Here is an 18,451-nt window from a genome sequence, read left to right as displayed (position 1 = left end):
TTTTCTTTTTTGAGATGGAGTTTCATGCTTGTTGCCCAGGCTGGAGTGCAATGGCACAATCTCAGCTCATTGCAACCTCTGCCTCCCAGGTTCAAGTGATTCCCCCTGCCTCAGCCTCTTGAGCAGCTGGGATTACAGGTGCACACCACCACGCCTGGCTAAATTTTTTTGTATTTTTTAGTAGAGATGGGGTTTCACCATGTTGGCCAGGCTGGTCTCGAACTCCTGACCTCAGCTGATCTGCCCACCTTGGCCACGCAAAGTGCTGGGATTACAGGCATGAGCCGCCAGGCCCGGCCACGAAGTCTTTATTTCACTCCTTCTTTCCTTTTTAGTTCCCTCTTTTTTTCTTTTATTTATTTATTTAATCAGTAATGACTCCATAATTTTTACTGAAAGTTGACTACAGTTTAAGGATCCTGTAGTTTATAGTTTCTATCTTAATTATGATTATTAAAAGGAGAAGAAAAAATTCCCAGTGGGATAGTAACAAACATGTTAACACCACCATAAAGTTAGCACAGTTGTTCTTGTATACCCAAATAGAAAAACTTATTTTGAATTTCTTAAATAGTCATTATTATTGATGAAAATTCTAAATAAGTCTTAGAGTAGGTATTGCTGCTTCAATGATATGCTGAGTTTAATAAACATTGATACCTGATCCATGAAATATTATTTAAGTTTATGTGAGAATCATTAATCTAGTAAAATGTGATATATGGATACTTACCCAACATGAAATCTAAACCAAGATCACATTGTATAAAATTGTGCTAACTGAAAACAGATCAAAGTTAATCAAATTGACTAACAGGTGTTTCTACCATTTTTTTGTCTCAGGGTTATGATGATGGCTACGGGGGTGAATATGATGACCAGACCTATGAGACTTATGATAACAGCTATGCGACCCAAACACAAAGGTAAGGCATTTGCTATCTAAAGCAGCCTTCTCAGGATTATCTCTAATCAATTTTGTTTCTTGAATCTGAATGTCAATTATATCATGTGAGAATTTCTAGTAGTGTTTTTTCTCCATTATCTTTCTGAATTATCAAGTTGCTTACCAGACTGTGAGAGTTAAACTATAATAACCTTGCAACTGCAAGCAAAGAAATAGTAGTGTGTCATTCTAAGACTAGATGATTATGGCAACCAATCAACTCGTTAAATAAGCTTGTATTTAACTAAATGTTATTTTTAGATTTTTTTAAAAGACAATAATAAAAGTAAGGCACTTGTTCAATGTAGCTTTTTTTTTTCCTAAAATATCACATTTATTTGTAAAAGATAATAAAATGTCATTGGTACTCTGGAAAGAGGGAAATTTCTGAAACATCTTAGGGAATCAAGAATTCCTTTGCTTTCTTGATAGGTCTCATATTGATTGTTGAATATATCTCGTTAGATTGACCCAAAATTTGTGATATAAATGATTTTTTATGTCTTCAAAGTCAGATTTATTGAGATGTTATTTATATATGATGAACTTTACCCATTTAGAATACAGCTGTATACGTTTGGCAGATGCAAACTACTGTGTAATGACCACCAAAATTAAGATATAGAGCATTTTCACCATCCAAAAATGCTTCTTCATGGCCCTTTGTAGTTAACTTCTCCTTCATCCTCAGGCTCTGGAAACCAACTATCTGTTTTTTGTTACCATAGTTTTACCTTCTCTAGAACACCTTGTAAGAAGAAACAATATAATAATGTAACATTTTGAGTGTGGATTTTATTTTTGTTAACTATGAAGAAAATAGGTGTAAAACAAATGCATTTTTAGAAAATTCAATCACCCACTTTTTTTTCTTAAAAGTGTTACAAATTTCACAGGAAAATACAGGGGGATCTATGAGTTAAGTGAGTTTCCCATTTATGTGATTGACAGAAGCCAATGGAACTTACTGTTGCAAAATCATTATAGCATTGATCATTTCTTGACCAACTTTATTGGCAATAAACCTCCTTTAGGACTTAAGTAATATTTGAGGTGGCAAAGAAGAAAACAACTTAAAGGTCATTATAGTTTAGAATAAATCTACATGTATTGTGGAAGTTTGGATTTTCCGTGGCCTGAGTGACAGCACAGTAAAAGTATTGAAGATAAATTTTATTTAGAGGGAATACTGTGGGCAATTAGAAATAAGATGAGTGTGAACTGATATCTTTAAAACTAAGTATGATTTAAGTTATCACTGTAGAAATGACCATCGCTGACACTGAATAATTGGTTAATTTCTAGTAAGCTAAATAGAGAAGCCATCATGAGCCAAGCGCTTTTGCTGTAATATCTTAATTGTCCCAATTACATATTGGAAAACAACACAGTCATTTAGGCTTAGGGTAAGTTTTGCATCACATTACAGATATTGAACCGAGTATTATATGCAAATTGGCTACATATTTAGACTGTCTGCTAATATTTTCAATCAAATTGTTAGTTTATCATTATACATTAGCACATAAAAATAGTGATAACAAAGTTCCATAACTAGTTTCAGAAACCCTTGATAGAAAGTGTAGTTACTACACTCGACAAACACAATTAGAATAGACTAAAATAATTCCTTGATGCAGCTCTGTAGAGCTACAATTAAATAGAAGAAATTTTGGAATAATTTTCTGATAATGAGGGACATTCTCTCTTCTGGTGAGATTTAAGTGAGCTTAACTGACCCTAAGAAACAAGAAGAAAAATATGAGATTAAGATAATTTAGCTTTGAATATCTGAAAAGTGAATGTTAGAATTGTTGAACACACACACACACACACATATATATAATGGCTGTATACAATAATTTTAGAATAAAACTTGCTTTAATAAAGTATAATTTATATGTAAAGGGACATTTTCTACACACTTCTGCTGCCTTCCCTGTCTCCTTTCCTATCCACTCAATTTTTGTAGCTAAATTCTTCCCATCCTTCCAGCCCCAGCTCAAAAGCCAACTCTTCTAAAAAGTATTTTCTTTATTGTGTTTTGGAGAATAATCTGTTTCTGCCCTGAATTCCAATAGCACCATATATTTACTTTTCTATAGCATTTATTTCTCTGCCTTACATTGGGATTATTTGTGTACATGTCCCCTATCATTTTCGTTATTTGTTCCAAATCCTTTTCTAATACAGCCTCATCTCTCTCACAATACTAGGTACAAAGTCTTTCATGGGGTATGCACTGAAGGGATAATTGTTGAGTATGTGAATGTCGAGCCTAATATGTTCTACACCATGGGGATACAAAATAAGAGCCTCATTCTTCAAAGAGAATACTGACAGAATATTTATGTGCTTCTCTGATACTTTACTGTTAAGCCAGAGGGACAAAGAAAGTAGGTGATGAAATTAGTTGCAGTGATACCAATGTCTATATTACAATAATGATAAAATGCCTATTTTGGTCAAAATTTTATCCTCAATACTAGTATAGTTTCTGAAACACTAGAGGTTCTCAGTAAAGATTTGTTGAAAAAATAAATGAAAATGAGTACATGCACTAATTAGTAAACTATTTTTTTCAGAAAACTGTGAAAAATAATTTTTTAATATCGTGCCAATTTCTAATAGAAATAGATACACACTAGAGTTCTTATTAGATCAGGTGTTCAATGCTTGCCTTTAGATTATTTTTTAATCAATTGTATTTTATCAAAATTAAATTTTGTTCTCTAAAAGACACTGTTATTAAATAAAATGGCAAGCTACAAACTGTGAAGCAATATTAGCAAAACATATATTTCTAAAGAATATCTTTGATTGTATCCAAAATATGCAAAAACTGCTAAAACTTTAGAATCAGATAAATAACCTGCCTTTTAAAAATGGGCAAAAAAATTTGAACTGACATTTCACCAAAGAAGATATACAAATTGCAAATAAGAGTCTAAAAATATGTTCAACATCATTATTCATTAGGAAAATTGAAATTAAAACCACAATTAGATACTAGTACACAGATTGTGGAATGGCTAATATTAAACAGATTGAATTATCAAATAAATGTTAGTGAGGATGTGGAGCAACTGCAATGCTCATATATTGCTGATAGGGATGTAAAACTGTAAACCACTTTGGAAAACAGTTAGGCAGTTGCTTAAAAGTTGACCTACATTTACCATATGACCCAGCAGTTCTTCTCTTCGGTATTTACCCAAGTGAAATGAAAACATTCATCTGTCATGGCGGTTTGTTGTGCAGATTATTTCATCACCCAGGTATTAAGCCTCGTACCATCAGTTCTTTTTCCTGATCCTCTCCCTCCTCCTGAAGGCCAAAAGGCCCCAGTGTGTGTTGTTCCCCTCTATGTGCCCATGTGTTCTCATCATTTAGCTCCCACTTATAAGTGGGAATATGTGGTATTTTGTTTTCTGTTCCTGTGTTAGTTTGCTAAGGATAATGGCCCCCAGCTCCATCCATGTGCCTACAAAGGACATGATCTCATTCTTTTTTATGGCTGCCTAGTATTCCATGGTGTATATCTACCACATTTTCTTTATCCTGTCTATCAGTGATGGGCATTTAGGTTGATTCCACGTCTTTGCTATTGTGACTAGTGCTGCAATAAACATACAAGTGCATGTGTCTTTATAACAGAATGATTTATATTCCTTTTGGTATATGCCCAATAATGGGATTGTTGGGTAGAATGGTATTTATGGCTTTAGGTCTTTGAAGAATCATTACATTGTCTTCCACAATGGCTGAACTAATCTAATAACAAACCTTCACTTGTATCCCTGAACTTAAAAGTTTTTTTAAAAAGAAAATATAGTAAAAAAAGAAGAAGATAAATACAGTCACCCAGAAACAGCTGTTGTGAACATTTTTGGAGTATCTATTTATCAATGTATCATCTTTTTATCTATCTTTCATGTGTGTTAATACATCTACCTACATTTGAAATCATATACTGCAAACTGTTTTGAAATTTAAGTTTAACTCTCCAGCACATAAGAACATCTATCTATGTTAATAAATGAATGTCTACAACATAATCTTTAATGGCTGTACATTGTTTCATTCTATGATTTGATCACAATTTAATCATTCCAGTACAGTTAAATGTTTAAGTTATTTTCAGTTTTTCATAACTCTAAACAAATATGTGATTAATATCTTTGTAGCTAAATCTTTTTTTTTCTTCAACTTTTATTTTAAATTCAGAGTCCATGTGCAGGATGTTCAGGTGTATTACATAGGTAAACAAGTGCCATGCTGGTTTGCTGCACAGATTATCCCATCACCTAGGTATTAAGCCCAGCATCCATTAGCTATTCTTCCTGATGCCCTCCCTCCCTCCACAACCCCCCTCCAAGAGGCCCCAGTGTGTCTTGCTCCCCCTGTGTGTCCCTGTGTTCTCATCATTTAGCTCCCCGTTAATAAATGAGAACATGTGGTTTTTGGTTTTCTCTTCCTGCATTAGTTTGCTAAGGATAATGGCTTCCAATTTCATCCATGTCCCTGCAAAGAACAGAATCTCATTCCTTTTTATGGCTGCATAGTATTCCATGATGTATATGTACCACATTTTCTATATCCAGTCTATCATGTTGGGTAATCAACCCAACATGGTTTAGGTTGATTCCATGTCTTTGCTATTGTGAATAGTGCTTCAGTGAACATATGTGTGCATGTATCTTTATAATAAAATGATTTATATTACTTTGGGTACATACCCAGTAATGGGATTGCTGGGTCAAAGGGTATTTCTGCTTCTCAGTATTTGAGAAATCAATCCACTGTCTTCCACAATAGTTTAACTAATTTAAGCTCCCACCAACAGTGTAAAAGTGTTTGTTTTTGCCTGCAACTTCACGAGCATGTTTTTTGACTTTTTAATAATAGCAATTTTGACTGGTGTGAGATGTTATCTCATTTTGGTTTTGATTTTTCTCTAATGATCAGTGATGTTAAGCTTTTTTCATGTTTGTTAGTCACATATATGTATTCTTTTGAGAAGTATCTGTTCAGGTCCTTTGCCCAGTTTTTAATGGGGTTGTTTGTTTCCTGTAAATTTGTTTAAGGTCCTTGTAGACTCTGGATATTAGACCTTTGACAGATGGATAGGTTGCAAAATTTTTCTTCCATTCTGTAGAATTTTTCTTCCATTCTGTTCGTTCTGATGATAGTTTATTTTGCTGTGCAGAAGAAGCTCTTTAGTTAGATTCCATTTGTCAATTTTTGCCATTGTTGCAATTGCTTTTGGCATTTTCAGCATGAAATCTTTGCCTGTGTCTATGTCCTGAATAGTATTGCCTAGCTCTTCTTCTAGAGTTTTTATAGTTTGGATTTTACATTTAAGTATTTAATTTATCTTGAGTTAATTTTTGTATATGGTGTAAGGAAGGGGTCCAGTTTCAATTTTCTCCATATGGCTAGACAGTTCTACCAGAACCATTTATTAAGTAGGTAACCCTTTCCCCATTGCTTGTTTTTGTCAGGTTTGTTGAAGATCAGAAGATCAGATGGTTGTAGGTGTGTGGTCTTATTTCTGAGTTCTTTATTCTGTTCCATTGTTCTATATGTTTGTTTTTGTACCAGTATTGTGCTGTTTTGGTTACTGTAGACTTGTAGTATGGCTTGAATTCAGGTAGCGTGATGTCTCCAGCTTTGTTCTCTTTGCTTAGGATTCTCTTGGCTATTCAGGCTCTTTTTTGGTTCCATATGAATTTTAAAATATTTTTTTCTAATTCTGTGAAGAATGTCAATGGTAGTTTTAATGGGAATAGTATTGAATCTATAAATTACTTTGGGCACTGTGGTCATTTTCATGATATTGATTCTTCCTATCCATAAGCATGGAATGTTTTTCCATTTATTGCTTCCTCTCTGATTTCCTTGAGCAGCGGTTTGTAGTTCTCTTTGAAGAGATCCGTCACTTCCCTTGCTAGCTGGACTTCTAGATATTTTATTCTTTTTGTGGCAGTGATCAATGGGAGTTTATTCATGATTTGGCTCTCTGCTTGTCTATTGTTGATGTATAGGAATGCTAGCGATTTTTGCACACTGATTTTGTATCCTGAGGCTTTGCTGAAGTTGCTTATTAGATTAAGAAGCTTTTTGGCTGAGATGATGAGTTTTCTGGATATAGGATTATGTCATCTGCAAATAAAGAGAGTTCGACTTCTTCTCTCCCTATTTGAATATGCTTTGTTTCTTTCTCTTGCCTGATTGCCCTGGCCAGAACTTCCAGTACTAAGTTGAATAAGAGTGGTGAGAGAAGGCATCCTTGTCTTGTGCCAGTTTGTAAGAGGAATGCTTCCAGCATTTGCCCATTTAGTATGATATTAGCTGTGAGTTTGTTATATCTGACTCATATTATTTTGAGGTATGTTCCTTTAGTATCTCGTTTATTGAGAGTTTTTAAAATGAAGGGATGTTGAATTTTATTGAAGGCCTTTTCTGCATCTATTAGTTCTGTTTATGCGATGAACCAAATTTATTGATATCTGTATGTTGAACCAACCTTGCATCCTGGGGATGGAGCCAACTGGATCATGTTAAATAAGTTTTTTGATGTGCTGCTGGATTCAGTTTTCTAGTATTTTATTGAGGATTGTTGCATTGATGTTCAGCAGGGATATTGGCCTGAAGTTTTCTTTGTTTCTTGTATCTCTGCCAGGTTTTGGCATCAGGATGATGCCAGCCTCATAGAAGGAGTTTAGGAGGAGTCCCTCCTTTTCAATTTTTTGGAATACTTTCAGTACACTACTAGCTCATCTTTGTACCTCTGGTAGAATTCAGCTGTGAATCTATCTGAGATTCTGGTCCTGAGATTTTTTTGGTTGGTGGGCTATTTATTACTGCCTCAATTTCAGAACTCGTTATTAGTCTATTCAGGCATAAAATTTCTTCCTAGCTTAGTCTTATGAAGGCATAGGTGTCCAGGAATTTATGCATTTCTTATAGATTGTCTAGTTTATGTGCATAGAGGTGTTTATAGTATTCTCTGATGGTCGTTTGTATTTCTGTGGGGTCAGTGGTGATATCCCCCTTATCATTTCTGATTGTGTTTATTTGATTCTTTTCTCTTTTCTTCTTTATTAGGCTAGATAACAGTTGATCTATTTTTTTAATGGTTTCAAAAAACCAGCTCCTGGATTCATTGTTTTCTGAAAGGATTTTCATGTCTCTATCTCCATTAGTTCCACTTTGATCTGGGTTATTCCTGTCTCCTACTAGCTTTGGGGTTTGTTTGCTCTTGGTTCTCTATTTCTTTTAGTTGAGATGTTAGGTTGTTAACTTGAGATATTTCTAGCTTTTACATATGGGCATTTATTACTATAAATTTCCCTCTTAACACTACTTTAGCTGTGTCCCAGAGTTTCTGGTACATTGTCTCTTTGTTCTAATTAGTTTCAAAAAACTTCTTAATTTCTGCCTTATTTACCCAAAAGTCATTCAGGATCAGTTGTTCAATTTCCATGTAGTTGTGTGATTTTTCGTGAATTTCTTAATCTTGAGATCAAATTTGATTGCACTGTGGTCTGAGACACTGTTATGATTTCAGTTCTTTTGCATTTGCTGAGGAATGTTTTACTTGATTATGTGCTCAATTTTAGAATAAGTGCCATGTCATGATGAGAAGAATGTATATGCTCTTGTTTTGGGGTGGAGATTTCTGTATATATCTATCAGGTCCACTTGATACAGAGCTGAGTTCAGGTCCTGAATAACTTTGTTAATTTTCTGTTTAGATTATCTGTCTAATATTGTCAGTGCAATGTTAAAGTCTCCCACTACTATTGTATGGGAGTCCTAAGTCTCCTTGTAGGTCTCTAAGAACTTGTTTTATGAATCTGGTTGTTCCTGTATTGGGTGCATATATATTTATGATAGTTAGCTCTTCTTGTTGAGTTTAACCCTTTACCATTATGTATTGCCTTTCTTTGTCCATTTTGATCTTTGTTGGTTTAAAGTCTATTTTGTCACAAACTAGGATTACAACCCCTGCTTTTTCGTTTTCCGTTTGCTTGGTAAATTCTCCTCCATCCCTTTATTTTGAGCCTATGTGTGTCTTTGCACATGAGATGGGTCTCTTGAAGACAACATACCTATGGGTCTAGGCTCTTTATCCAGCTTGCCATTCTGTCTTTTAATTGGGGCAATGAGTCCATTTACCTTTAAAGTTAGTATTGTTATATGTAAATTTGATCCTTTCATCATGATGCTAGCTGATTATTTTGCAGACTGTTCACATGGTTGCTTCATAGTATCACTGGTCTGTACTTCAGTGTGTTTTTACAGTGGCTGGTAATGGTTTTTTCTTTCCATATTTAGTCTATTTTTAAGAAGCTCTTGTGATATAGGCCTGGTGGTGACAAATTCCCTCCACATTTGCTTGTCTGAAAATGATCTTATTTCTCCATCATTTATGAAGCTTAGTTTGGTCAGATATGAAATTCTGGATTAGAAGTTCTTTTCTTTAACAATATTGAATATTGGCCCCCAATCTCTCCTGGCTTATAGGGTTTCCACTGAGAGGTTCTCCACTAGTCTGATAGGCTTTGCTTTGCAGGTGACCTGGTCTTTCTCTCTGGCTTGCCCTTAAATTACTTTTCTTTCACTTCAACCTTGGAAAATCTGATGATTATGTGCCTTGGGGTTGATCTTCTCATGGAGTATCTTACTGGGGTTCTCTACATTTCCTGAATTTGAATATTGGCCTGTGTTGCTAGGTTGGGGAAGTTCTTCTGGATGATATTCAAGTTTACAACTTCGTTCCATTCTCCCTCTCCTTCAGGTACCCCAATCAGTCATAGGTCTGCTCTCTTTAAATAATCCCATATTAATCAGAGGTATTGTTCATTCTTTTTCATTCTTTTTTCTCTATTCTTGTATGCCTATCTTATTTCAAAAGATAGTCTTCAAGCTCTGTCTTTCATCCACTCAGTCTATTCTGCTATTGATACTTCTGATTGCATTGTGACGTTCTCGTATTGAGTTTTTCAGCTCCATCAGGTCAGTTATGTTCCTCTCTAAACTGGCTATTCTGCCTATCAGCTTCTGTATTGTTGTTTTTTTGTTTGTTTGTTTGTTTGTTTGTTTTTGAGATGGAGTCTTTCTCTGTTGCCAGGCTGGAGTGCAGTGCAGCTTCTGTATTGTTTTATTATAATTCTTAGCTTCTTTGCAATTGTTTTACAGCTTGCTCCTTTAGCTTAGCAAAGTTTGTTATTACGTACCTTCTGAAGTCTACTTCTGTCAATTCAGCCATTTCAGCCTCAGCACAGTTCTTTGACCTCCTTGGGGAGGTGTTGTGGTCATTTGGAGAAGAGGCTCTCTGGCTTTTTGAGTTTTCAGCATTTTTGCATTGATTCTTTCTCATCTTTGTGGCCTTATCTACCTTTGATCTTTGAGGTTGCAAACCATTGAATGGGGTTTTTGTGGGTTCTTTTTGTTGATATTATTGTTGTTTTCTGTTTGTTTGTTTGTTTGTTTGTTTTTTATGGTCAGGCCACTTGTCTATAGTCCTGCTGTGGTTTGCTTGGGTCTGCTTCAGACCCTAGTTGCCTCAGTTTTTCCCATACCTGAAGGTATCACCAGTGAAAGCTGCAAAACATCAAAGATGGCAGCCTGCTTCTTCCTCTGCTTCTTCCTCGCCGCAGCTCATGCCTGTAATTCCAGCACTTTGGGAGGCCAAGGCCAGCAGATCACGAGGTGAGGAGATCGAGACCATCCTGGCTAACATGGTGAAACCCCATCTCTACTAAAAGTACAAAAAATTAGCCAGGCATGGTGGTGGGCGCTTGTAGTCCCAGCTACTGAGGAGGCTGAGGCAGGAGAATGTTGTGAACCCGGGAGGCGGAGCTTAGAGTGAGCCAAGATCGCGCCACTGTACTCCAGCCTGGGTGACAGAGCGAGACTCCATCTAAAAAAAAAAAAATAGAAATATATAATTAGAATCATCCTCCAGCATTTACAAACAATATTAATATTATATGAGCACTGTCACAGTCTAAATCAGAAGAAATGCTGATTTTGAATTGTGAAAATAAAATAGTAGAATATGTGTGACTTAGTAGAACTAAGATAAAAGATAAAAATATTTAGAGAAAATGGACTTTAACTGATTAGTTAGCATAAGTGAACATAGAATTTGTGAGATTATAAAATAGAATCTGGAAGATGCCTAAATGGAATAATTATATCATCCTCAGTAGAGATTCTAGAGGAGGTTCACAAGGTAACAATCCTACAAAGGTTCACCTGAAGTTCAGCAGCTATAACAATTTTAATTAATCCCCCAGTTATTTTGCAAGGTATTGCTAGTTCAGGAAAATTTCAAATGAATCAGAAAAGGTGTTTCACCAGCCAGCATCATCCTGATACCAAAGCCGGGCAGAGACACAACCAAAAAAGAGAATTTTAGACCAATATCCTTGATGAACATTGATGCAAAAATCCTCAATAAAATAATGGCAAACCGAATCCAGCAGCACATCAAAAAGCTTATCCACCATGATCAAGTGGGCTTCATCCCTGGGATTCAAGGCTGGTTCAACACACGCAAATCAATAAATGTAATCCAGCATATAAACAGAACCAAAGACAAAAACCACATGATTATCTCAATAGATGCAGAAAAGGCCTTTGACAAAATTCAACAACTCTTCATGCTAAAAACTCTCAATAAATTAGGTATTGATTGGACGTATCTCAAAATAATAAGAGCTATCTATGACAGACCCACAGCCAATATCATACTGAATGGGCAAAAACTGGAAGTATTCCCTTTGAAAACTGGCACAAGACGGGGTGCCCTCTCTCACCACTCCTATTCAACATAGTGTTGGAAGTTCTGGCCAGGGCAATTAGGCAGGAGAAGGAAATAAAAGGTATTCAATTAGGAAAAGAGGAAGTCAAATTGTCCCTGTTTGCAGATGACATGATTGTATAGCTAGAAAACCCCATCGTCTCAGCCCAAAATCTCCTTAAGCTGATAAGCAACTTCAGCAAAGTCTCAGGATACAAAATCAATGTATAAAAATCACAAGCATTCTTATACACCAACAACAGACAAACAGAGAGCCAAATCATGAGTGAACTCCCATTCACAATTGCTTCAAAGAGAATAAAATACCTAGGAATCCAACTTACAAGGGACGTGAAGGACCTCTTCAAGGAGAACTACAAACCACTGCTCAAGGAAATAAAAGAGGATACAAACAAATGGAAGAACATTCCATGCTCATGGGTAGGAAGAATCAATATCGTGAAAATGGCCATACTGCCCGAGGTAATTTACAGATTCAATGCCACCCCCATCAAGCTACCAGTGACTTTCTTCACAGAATTGGAAAAAACTACTTTAAAGTTCATATGGAACCAAAAAAGAGCCCGCGTCGCCCAGTCAATCCGGAGCCAAAAGGACAAAGCTGGAGGCATCACACTACCTGACTTCAAACTATACTACAAGGCTACAGTAACCAAAACAGCATGGTACTGGTACCAAAACAGAGATACAGATCAATGGAACAGAACAGAGCCCTCAGAAATAATGCCGCATATCCACAACTATCTGATCTTTGACAAACCTGAGAAAAACAAGCAATGGGGAAAGGATTCCCTATTTAATAAATGGTGCTGGGAAAACTGGCTAGCCATATGTAGAAAGCTGAAACTGGATCCCTTCCTTACACCTTATACAAAAATCAATTCAAGATGGATTAAAGACTTAAACCTTAGACCTAAAACCATAAAAACCCTAGAAGAAAACCTAGGCATTACCATTCAGGACATAGGCATGGGCAAGGACTTCATGTCTAAAACACCAAAAGCAATGGCAACAAAAGCCAAAATTGACAAATGGGATCTAATTAAACTAAAGAGCTTCTGCACAGCAAAAGAAACTACCATCAGAGTGAACAGGCAACCTATAAAATGGGAGAAAATTTTCGCAACCTACTCGTCTAACAAAGGGCTAATATCCAGAATCTACAATGAACTCAAACAAATTCACAAGAAAAAAACAAACAAGCCCATCAAAAAGTGGGCAAAGGACATGAACAGACACTTCTCAAAAGAAGACATTTATGCTGCCAAAAAACACATGAAAAAATGTTCACCATCACTGGCCATCAGAGAAATGCAAATCAAAACCACAATGAGGTACCATCTCACACCAGTTAGAATGGCAATCATTAAAAAGTCAGGAAACAACAGGTGCTGGAGAGGATGTGGAGAAATAGGAACACTTTTACACTGTTGGTGGGACTGTAAACTAGTTCAACCATTGTGGAAGTCAGTGTGGCAATTCCTCAGGGATCTAGAACTAGAAATACCATTTGACCCAGCCATCCCATTACTGGTTATATACCCAAAGGACTCTAAATCATGCTGCTACAAAGACACATGCACACGTATGTTTATTGCGGCATTATTCACAATAGCAAAGACTTGGAACCAACCCAAATGTCCAACAATGATAGACTGGATTAAGAAAACGTGGCACATATACACCTTGAAATACTATGCAGCCATAAAAATGATGAGTTCATGTCCTTTGTAGGGACATGGATGAAATTGGAAATCATCATTCTCAGTAAACTATCGCAAGAACAAAAAACCAAACACCGCATATTCTCACTCATAGGTGGGAATTGAACAATGAGAACACATGGACACAGGAAGGGGAACATCACACTCTGGGGACTGTTGTGGGGTGGGAAGAGGCGGGAGGCATAGCACTGGGAGATGTACCTAATGCTAGATGACGAGTTAGTGGGTGCAGCACACCAACATGGCACATGTATACATATGTAACTAACCTGCACATTATGCACATGTACCCTAAAACTTAAAGTATAATAATAATAAATAAATAAATTTAAAAAAAAGAGTCCATAGGAGGCAGCTTAACTGAATGACATTAATGACTGGTAAAGATGACAATGATATAAGGTGTCTCTGACCATCATCTTTTTCTCTTACCCTGTGTCTATGAGGAGAAAAAGTAAAGAAATAAATTGATGAGTTGATTATGCAAGCTTCAAATTGCAGGGCTAGTATTACAGTTTCCAGGGGAACTCACATACTTGAAGTTTTGACTTAAGGCAAGTTACATCCTGGGATTAACACCTTTAATTGGACCAAACATTTAAATTCTGTTCATGTTCTGATAACCTTTTTTTTTCTACATACTCCTCAAAGACATTAACATTTTCAAAGGTCAACCTTCTGAAATCATGGAAATTCACAAGATTTTGTCAACATTTCCCAATGTCCAAATTAAAAAAAAAAGAAAAACAGCTCTACCAAACCAAATTATACAAGTAGAAAAAAAGTGGTTTTCATTTACTTAGATACAAGTGGCAATATTGCAAATAAAAGCCAAAAGACCAATTCAGATCTTTGATTCTAATAGTAATTTAATTTGGATGTGAAATGTTAAAAATTTATAATCTTCCAATGTAAAATTTTAACTGTAGATTGGTATAATAGGCAAAATATTTAAATGGAAGTCTTTGCTTTTCTTAAATAATGTATCAGGTGAGGAACTCACACAACCTAGGAAAAGAAGCCTCCCTTCTGTGGAGAATGTACTAGGAGAGCAAAGATGTATAGATACAGATGTAGATTAGACATAGATATAGATGTAGATAGACACCTCCCTCTGAAATATAAGGCATTATTATAAAGTGTTCTAGAATGAAAACCTTTTTTGAATATTTGTAGTTATCAGGGCTGAAACAGTGTGGGGGCGGGGAATTAGACTCCTAAATTAGGATAATTTGTGGAGAGTTTAACCAGGGAACTATTTTCAGTGGACGAGTACCACAAGGGACAATTTAGTCCCCTGAAGATAGTATCCATAAGGTGAGGTGCTCTACTACCAAAAATAGAAATTAAAGGGAAACAGAGAAAGCTGTGGGAGAGGCCACCTGACAGGAACTGAGACCTCTACTTCAGAATGGCAACCACGGCCATCCTACAGGAGGAAGTACAGGGAGTTTCTATCCTGATCTCACTCTCCTTTCTCCTGCCAGTCTCCTACCATTACTCCCACTGGATGGACCCAGTAGGAAGCAGAGGAAAACCAATCCAATAGACGGTGTTGCCATTAGTCATCCTCTAGGGAGAGAACAGGATGGAGGCAAGAAAGAAAGTGGGACAGCAAATTGAAAAGATCCAGCACAACATCTAAAATTTTTATCACACTTCAATAAGTAGTAATTGTACATATTAGTGCCAGTTGCTTGAACATATAAATAATGATATGAAATTGTTATGGAAACAGTAATGCTTTTAAATACAATGTATATTTTATTTATGAGAAAGCAAAAGAAAGAATATACAGTGAATATACATATCTACATTTGGTGGAAAAATAGGTTCTCAAACCCCTCGCACAAACTTCTTAGCTCCTCAAGGGTCAGAGCCTATAGGATGGGAGCCACTGCTTTTTTTGCTCAAACACTACTTGGAGCTATCAGTTTATAATAGCTAACAATCATTTTGTGCTAGCTGCTACGCTAAGTGTTGGGAGGTGTTTTATCTCATTTAATCCCTGCAACAACATATGAAGCAGGTATTTTTTTCCTCATTTTATATAGAGAAAATTTAAATTTTAGAAATGTTAAGTGATTTTTCCAAGTATAATATATTTAAATAGTAAATGTTGGATTTGAACCCATATCTGCCAACTCCACGGTGTTAGACATAAAGACCAACAGATACTACTACCTGAAAACCTAAATCAATTCAGACGTCTGTTATGTACCTCAAAAGGCCAGAGAGAATATGCATTTAATATAAGAAAATAGGGAGCTATCTGCATGCTTTGCAAAAAGTTCTGACCAAAAGATACTTCTGAGCAAGAAAAAAAGAAGAAATTATTTACTGTTTTTAGGCTATATGTTTAATGTAAGTCCTTATATTTGATACTGAGTCTACAGAAATCCCTCTAATGAAAACTAAAGTGTGAAACACTGCAGTTATCCAGTAACTTAATAAAAGTTATAATATTAAGCTTGTCCTATTCATTTAAGTGGCACTATTCACTATAAAGTCACTCGCCCTCGTTTTGTAATTTATTTCTCTAATGTCTCAATGCTATAGTCTATGATGAGATTGAATTTACAGAAGGTTATTGGATTTAATTACTTTCCCACAGTTATTCTACAATTTAATTGTATGTTCCTGCCATCTACAGACCTCTGCATGCATAAACAGTAGGTTTGATATTGTTTGAATTTACCATCACAGGATGAGAATTCAGCTCTCAATAAACACTGTTTTTTTTCTCTCTCTCTTTTTTAGTTCTTATTTGACGTATTTATTTTAGGCACTTCAGAGAACCACTGTTAGTTTTAGGAAAGAAACAATGTGTTTCCTCAAATTATCAGTATGTATACATTGTATTTGTCGATTTTTAATTAATTTAAGGTTAATTTTGATAATAACTAAACTACTTGCCTAAGTAGTTTAAATAGTCAATCTGTATTTAAAAATATACCATTAAAATAGTTTTTATGAAACTCTAATAAGAAGAGTTAGAAAAACCATTTTCTCTACTCACATGAATGACAAGTCTCTCAAGAAAACCTAAGGAAGTGTTTTAGATAGTAACTGAAACCTGCTTAATCTTTTATTGAGATCAAGGCATGTCAACATGCCAGTCATTTCTCCTCACCAGGTTAATTTAGAATTGGAAACACTCCTCAGGAGGAAACAAGAAGGTATTGGGTAAACCATACACAATCAGTGCTTCAAAAATAGGAAGCATTAGATCATCCTAAATTCTGAAAGAACCTGATGTGTTGCAAAAAGCCCAGCATTAAGGACAGAAAGAACCTAAGGTGAAATTCTGGTTTCACTGGTAGGTGAAGAGAAGCCTAGCTTCACACACACACAAAAAAGTTTAACATATGAATAACATATTTAAGGAATCAGGAATGTTTGTGAATGTATACGACTGTCAAAGTATGCAATAAGGAGTGGTAGAGACTGTGGCAGACTGGAATGTATGTGCCCTATCTAAAGCGACTATCGTTTTTTCAACATTAGGATATTGTGGCCATGTAGCCTAGGTTTTTTTAAAAAAATGAAGGTCAGTAATGCTTGTTATCTTTTCCTCCCCAAGAAGAGCTGGAAGTCTAGATTTTCCAGTTACTATTCCTGCATCAAGAAACCACCCCAAAACCTAGTAGTATAGAACAACCATTTTTACTATGCTCAGGAATTTTTTTATACATCTGGAGTCTTAGCAAAGTACAACAAGGGTGGCTTGTTTCTGCTTCACTATGTCTGGGGCCGCAGCTGCAAAGGCTCAGAAGCCAAGGGTGACTCAATGGCTGGGATGTGAAATCACCTGGGGATTCTTCTCATATTATATATAGCAGTTGATGCTGGCTGTCAGCTTGTCCCTTAATTAGCACTGCTGCATGGAACACCCATACAGTCCTCTCCATGTCACTTAGGCTTCCTCATAGCATGGCAGCTCAGGGTACCAGATATGAGTATCCCGAAAAGCAAAAGAGAAGTTGCATTACTTTTTATGACTTAGCCTCATGCTAGTAGTTACAAGCACCTCACAAGTCCAGCCAGATTCAAGAGAAGGGATAATAGTCTTTACCTGTCAGTGGGTGACAGCATGGTTCGAGAATGGAAAAAAAAATGTAGCCATTTTAAAAAAATATAACCTGCTACGTCAGTTTTTCTGTGCAATACTCTGATTTTTAGATACTGGCAACTAATTTAAAGAAATTAAACATTTTAAGGATTCAAATATATCTATAGATAGCTATGGTCCTGATTTTCTAAATTCTGTCCAACACAAAATAATCAAGATAGAGAAAAAAAAAAAACTCAGTATACAGGAAATTCTTCCAAAGGCACAGTAGGAAGGACTTACTAAAATACAGAGGACTATTTGTAAACAATTAGAGAAGAAGAGAGACACTCAAATAAACACATAGCATGTGATAAGTACTGTGCTGGGAGGATGTGTTAGAGGACATGAGGGAGCATGGGAGGTCACACAGATAGAGGGTGAAGAGAAAGTATTACAAGGCTTCTCAGAAGAGCTGATGCCAGGCTGAGATTGTAATGTTAAGTGAAACTTAGGCAAGGACCTCATCACTTGCAAAGACAAAGAAATGAGAATATGATTCATTACTATAGAATTACATTTTCTTCAGGCAGATCAGATATTTGAAAGTGTTGGGGCATATAGCTGAGGCGATAGGAAGGAAACAAGAAAGCCTAAATATACCACTAGGAAAAAAGAAAAAAAGTGGTATTGGGATAGAGTTTTAGGTTATCATCAAACCTAGAATTTAGCAAGACCAAATTCATGTTTGGAAAAAATCATCTTTTTTCTGCACCAGGCCAATGTAGTTATCTGAGCTCAATAAATTCTCCATTGGTTGCCATTCCATCCTTTTTTTGAGCAACATTTCTATGCGTTCGTTGTTTTCTTTGGTTTCTTAGTCAATTTGCATG

The 18,451-nt window shown here is 35.9% G+C and overlaps 1 protein-coding gene across 7 annotated transcripts in view; it reads left to right on the top strand.

Moving 5' to 3' along the window:
• The window catches only part of KHDRBS2 (KH RNA binding domain containing, signal transduction associated 2), a 743,556-nt gene that overhangs the window by 552,618 nt on the left and 172,487 nt on the right, over window positions 1-18,451 (top strand). For all 7 annotated transcript variants that reach the window (NR_146870.2, NR_146873.3, NR_146874.3 and 4 more), the window contains one exon: window positions 844-926. Coding sequence is in view for 2 of the 7 variants with exons in the window: in NM_152688.4 (NP_689901.2) it covers window positions 844-926 (83 nt within the window). In the remaining 5 variants the exon portion in view is untranslated. The remainder of the gene's footprint in view (window positions 1-843; window positions 927-18,451) is intronic.

This window comes from Homo sapiens, chromosome 6 (assembly GCF_000001405.40).
Source record: "Homo sapiens chromosome 6, GRCh38.p14 Primary Assembly".
In the NCBI taxonomy this organism is placed as follows: Eukaryota; Metazoa; Chordata; class Mammalia; order Primates; family Hominidae; genus Homo; species Homo sapiens.
The sequence above is the reverse complement of the archived record's forward strand: the minus strand, read 5'-3'. Positions and strand labels throughout refer to the sequence as shown.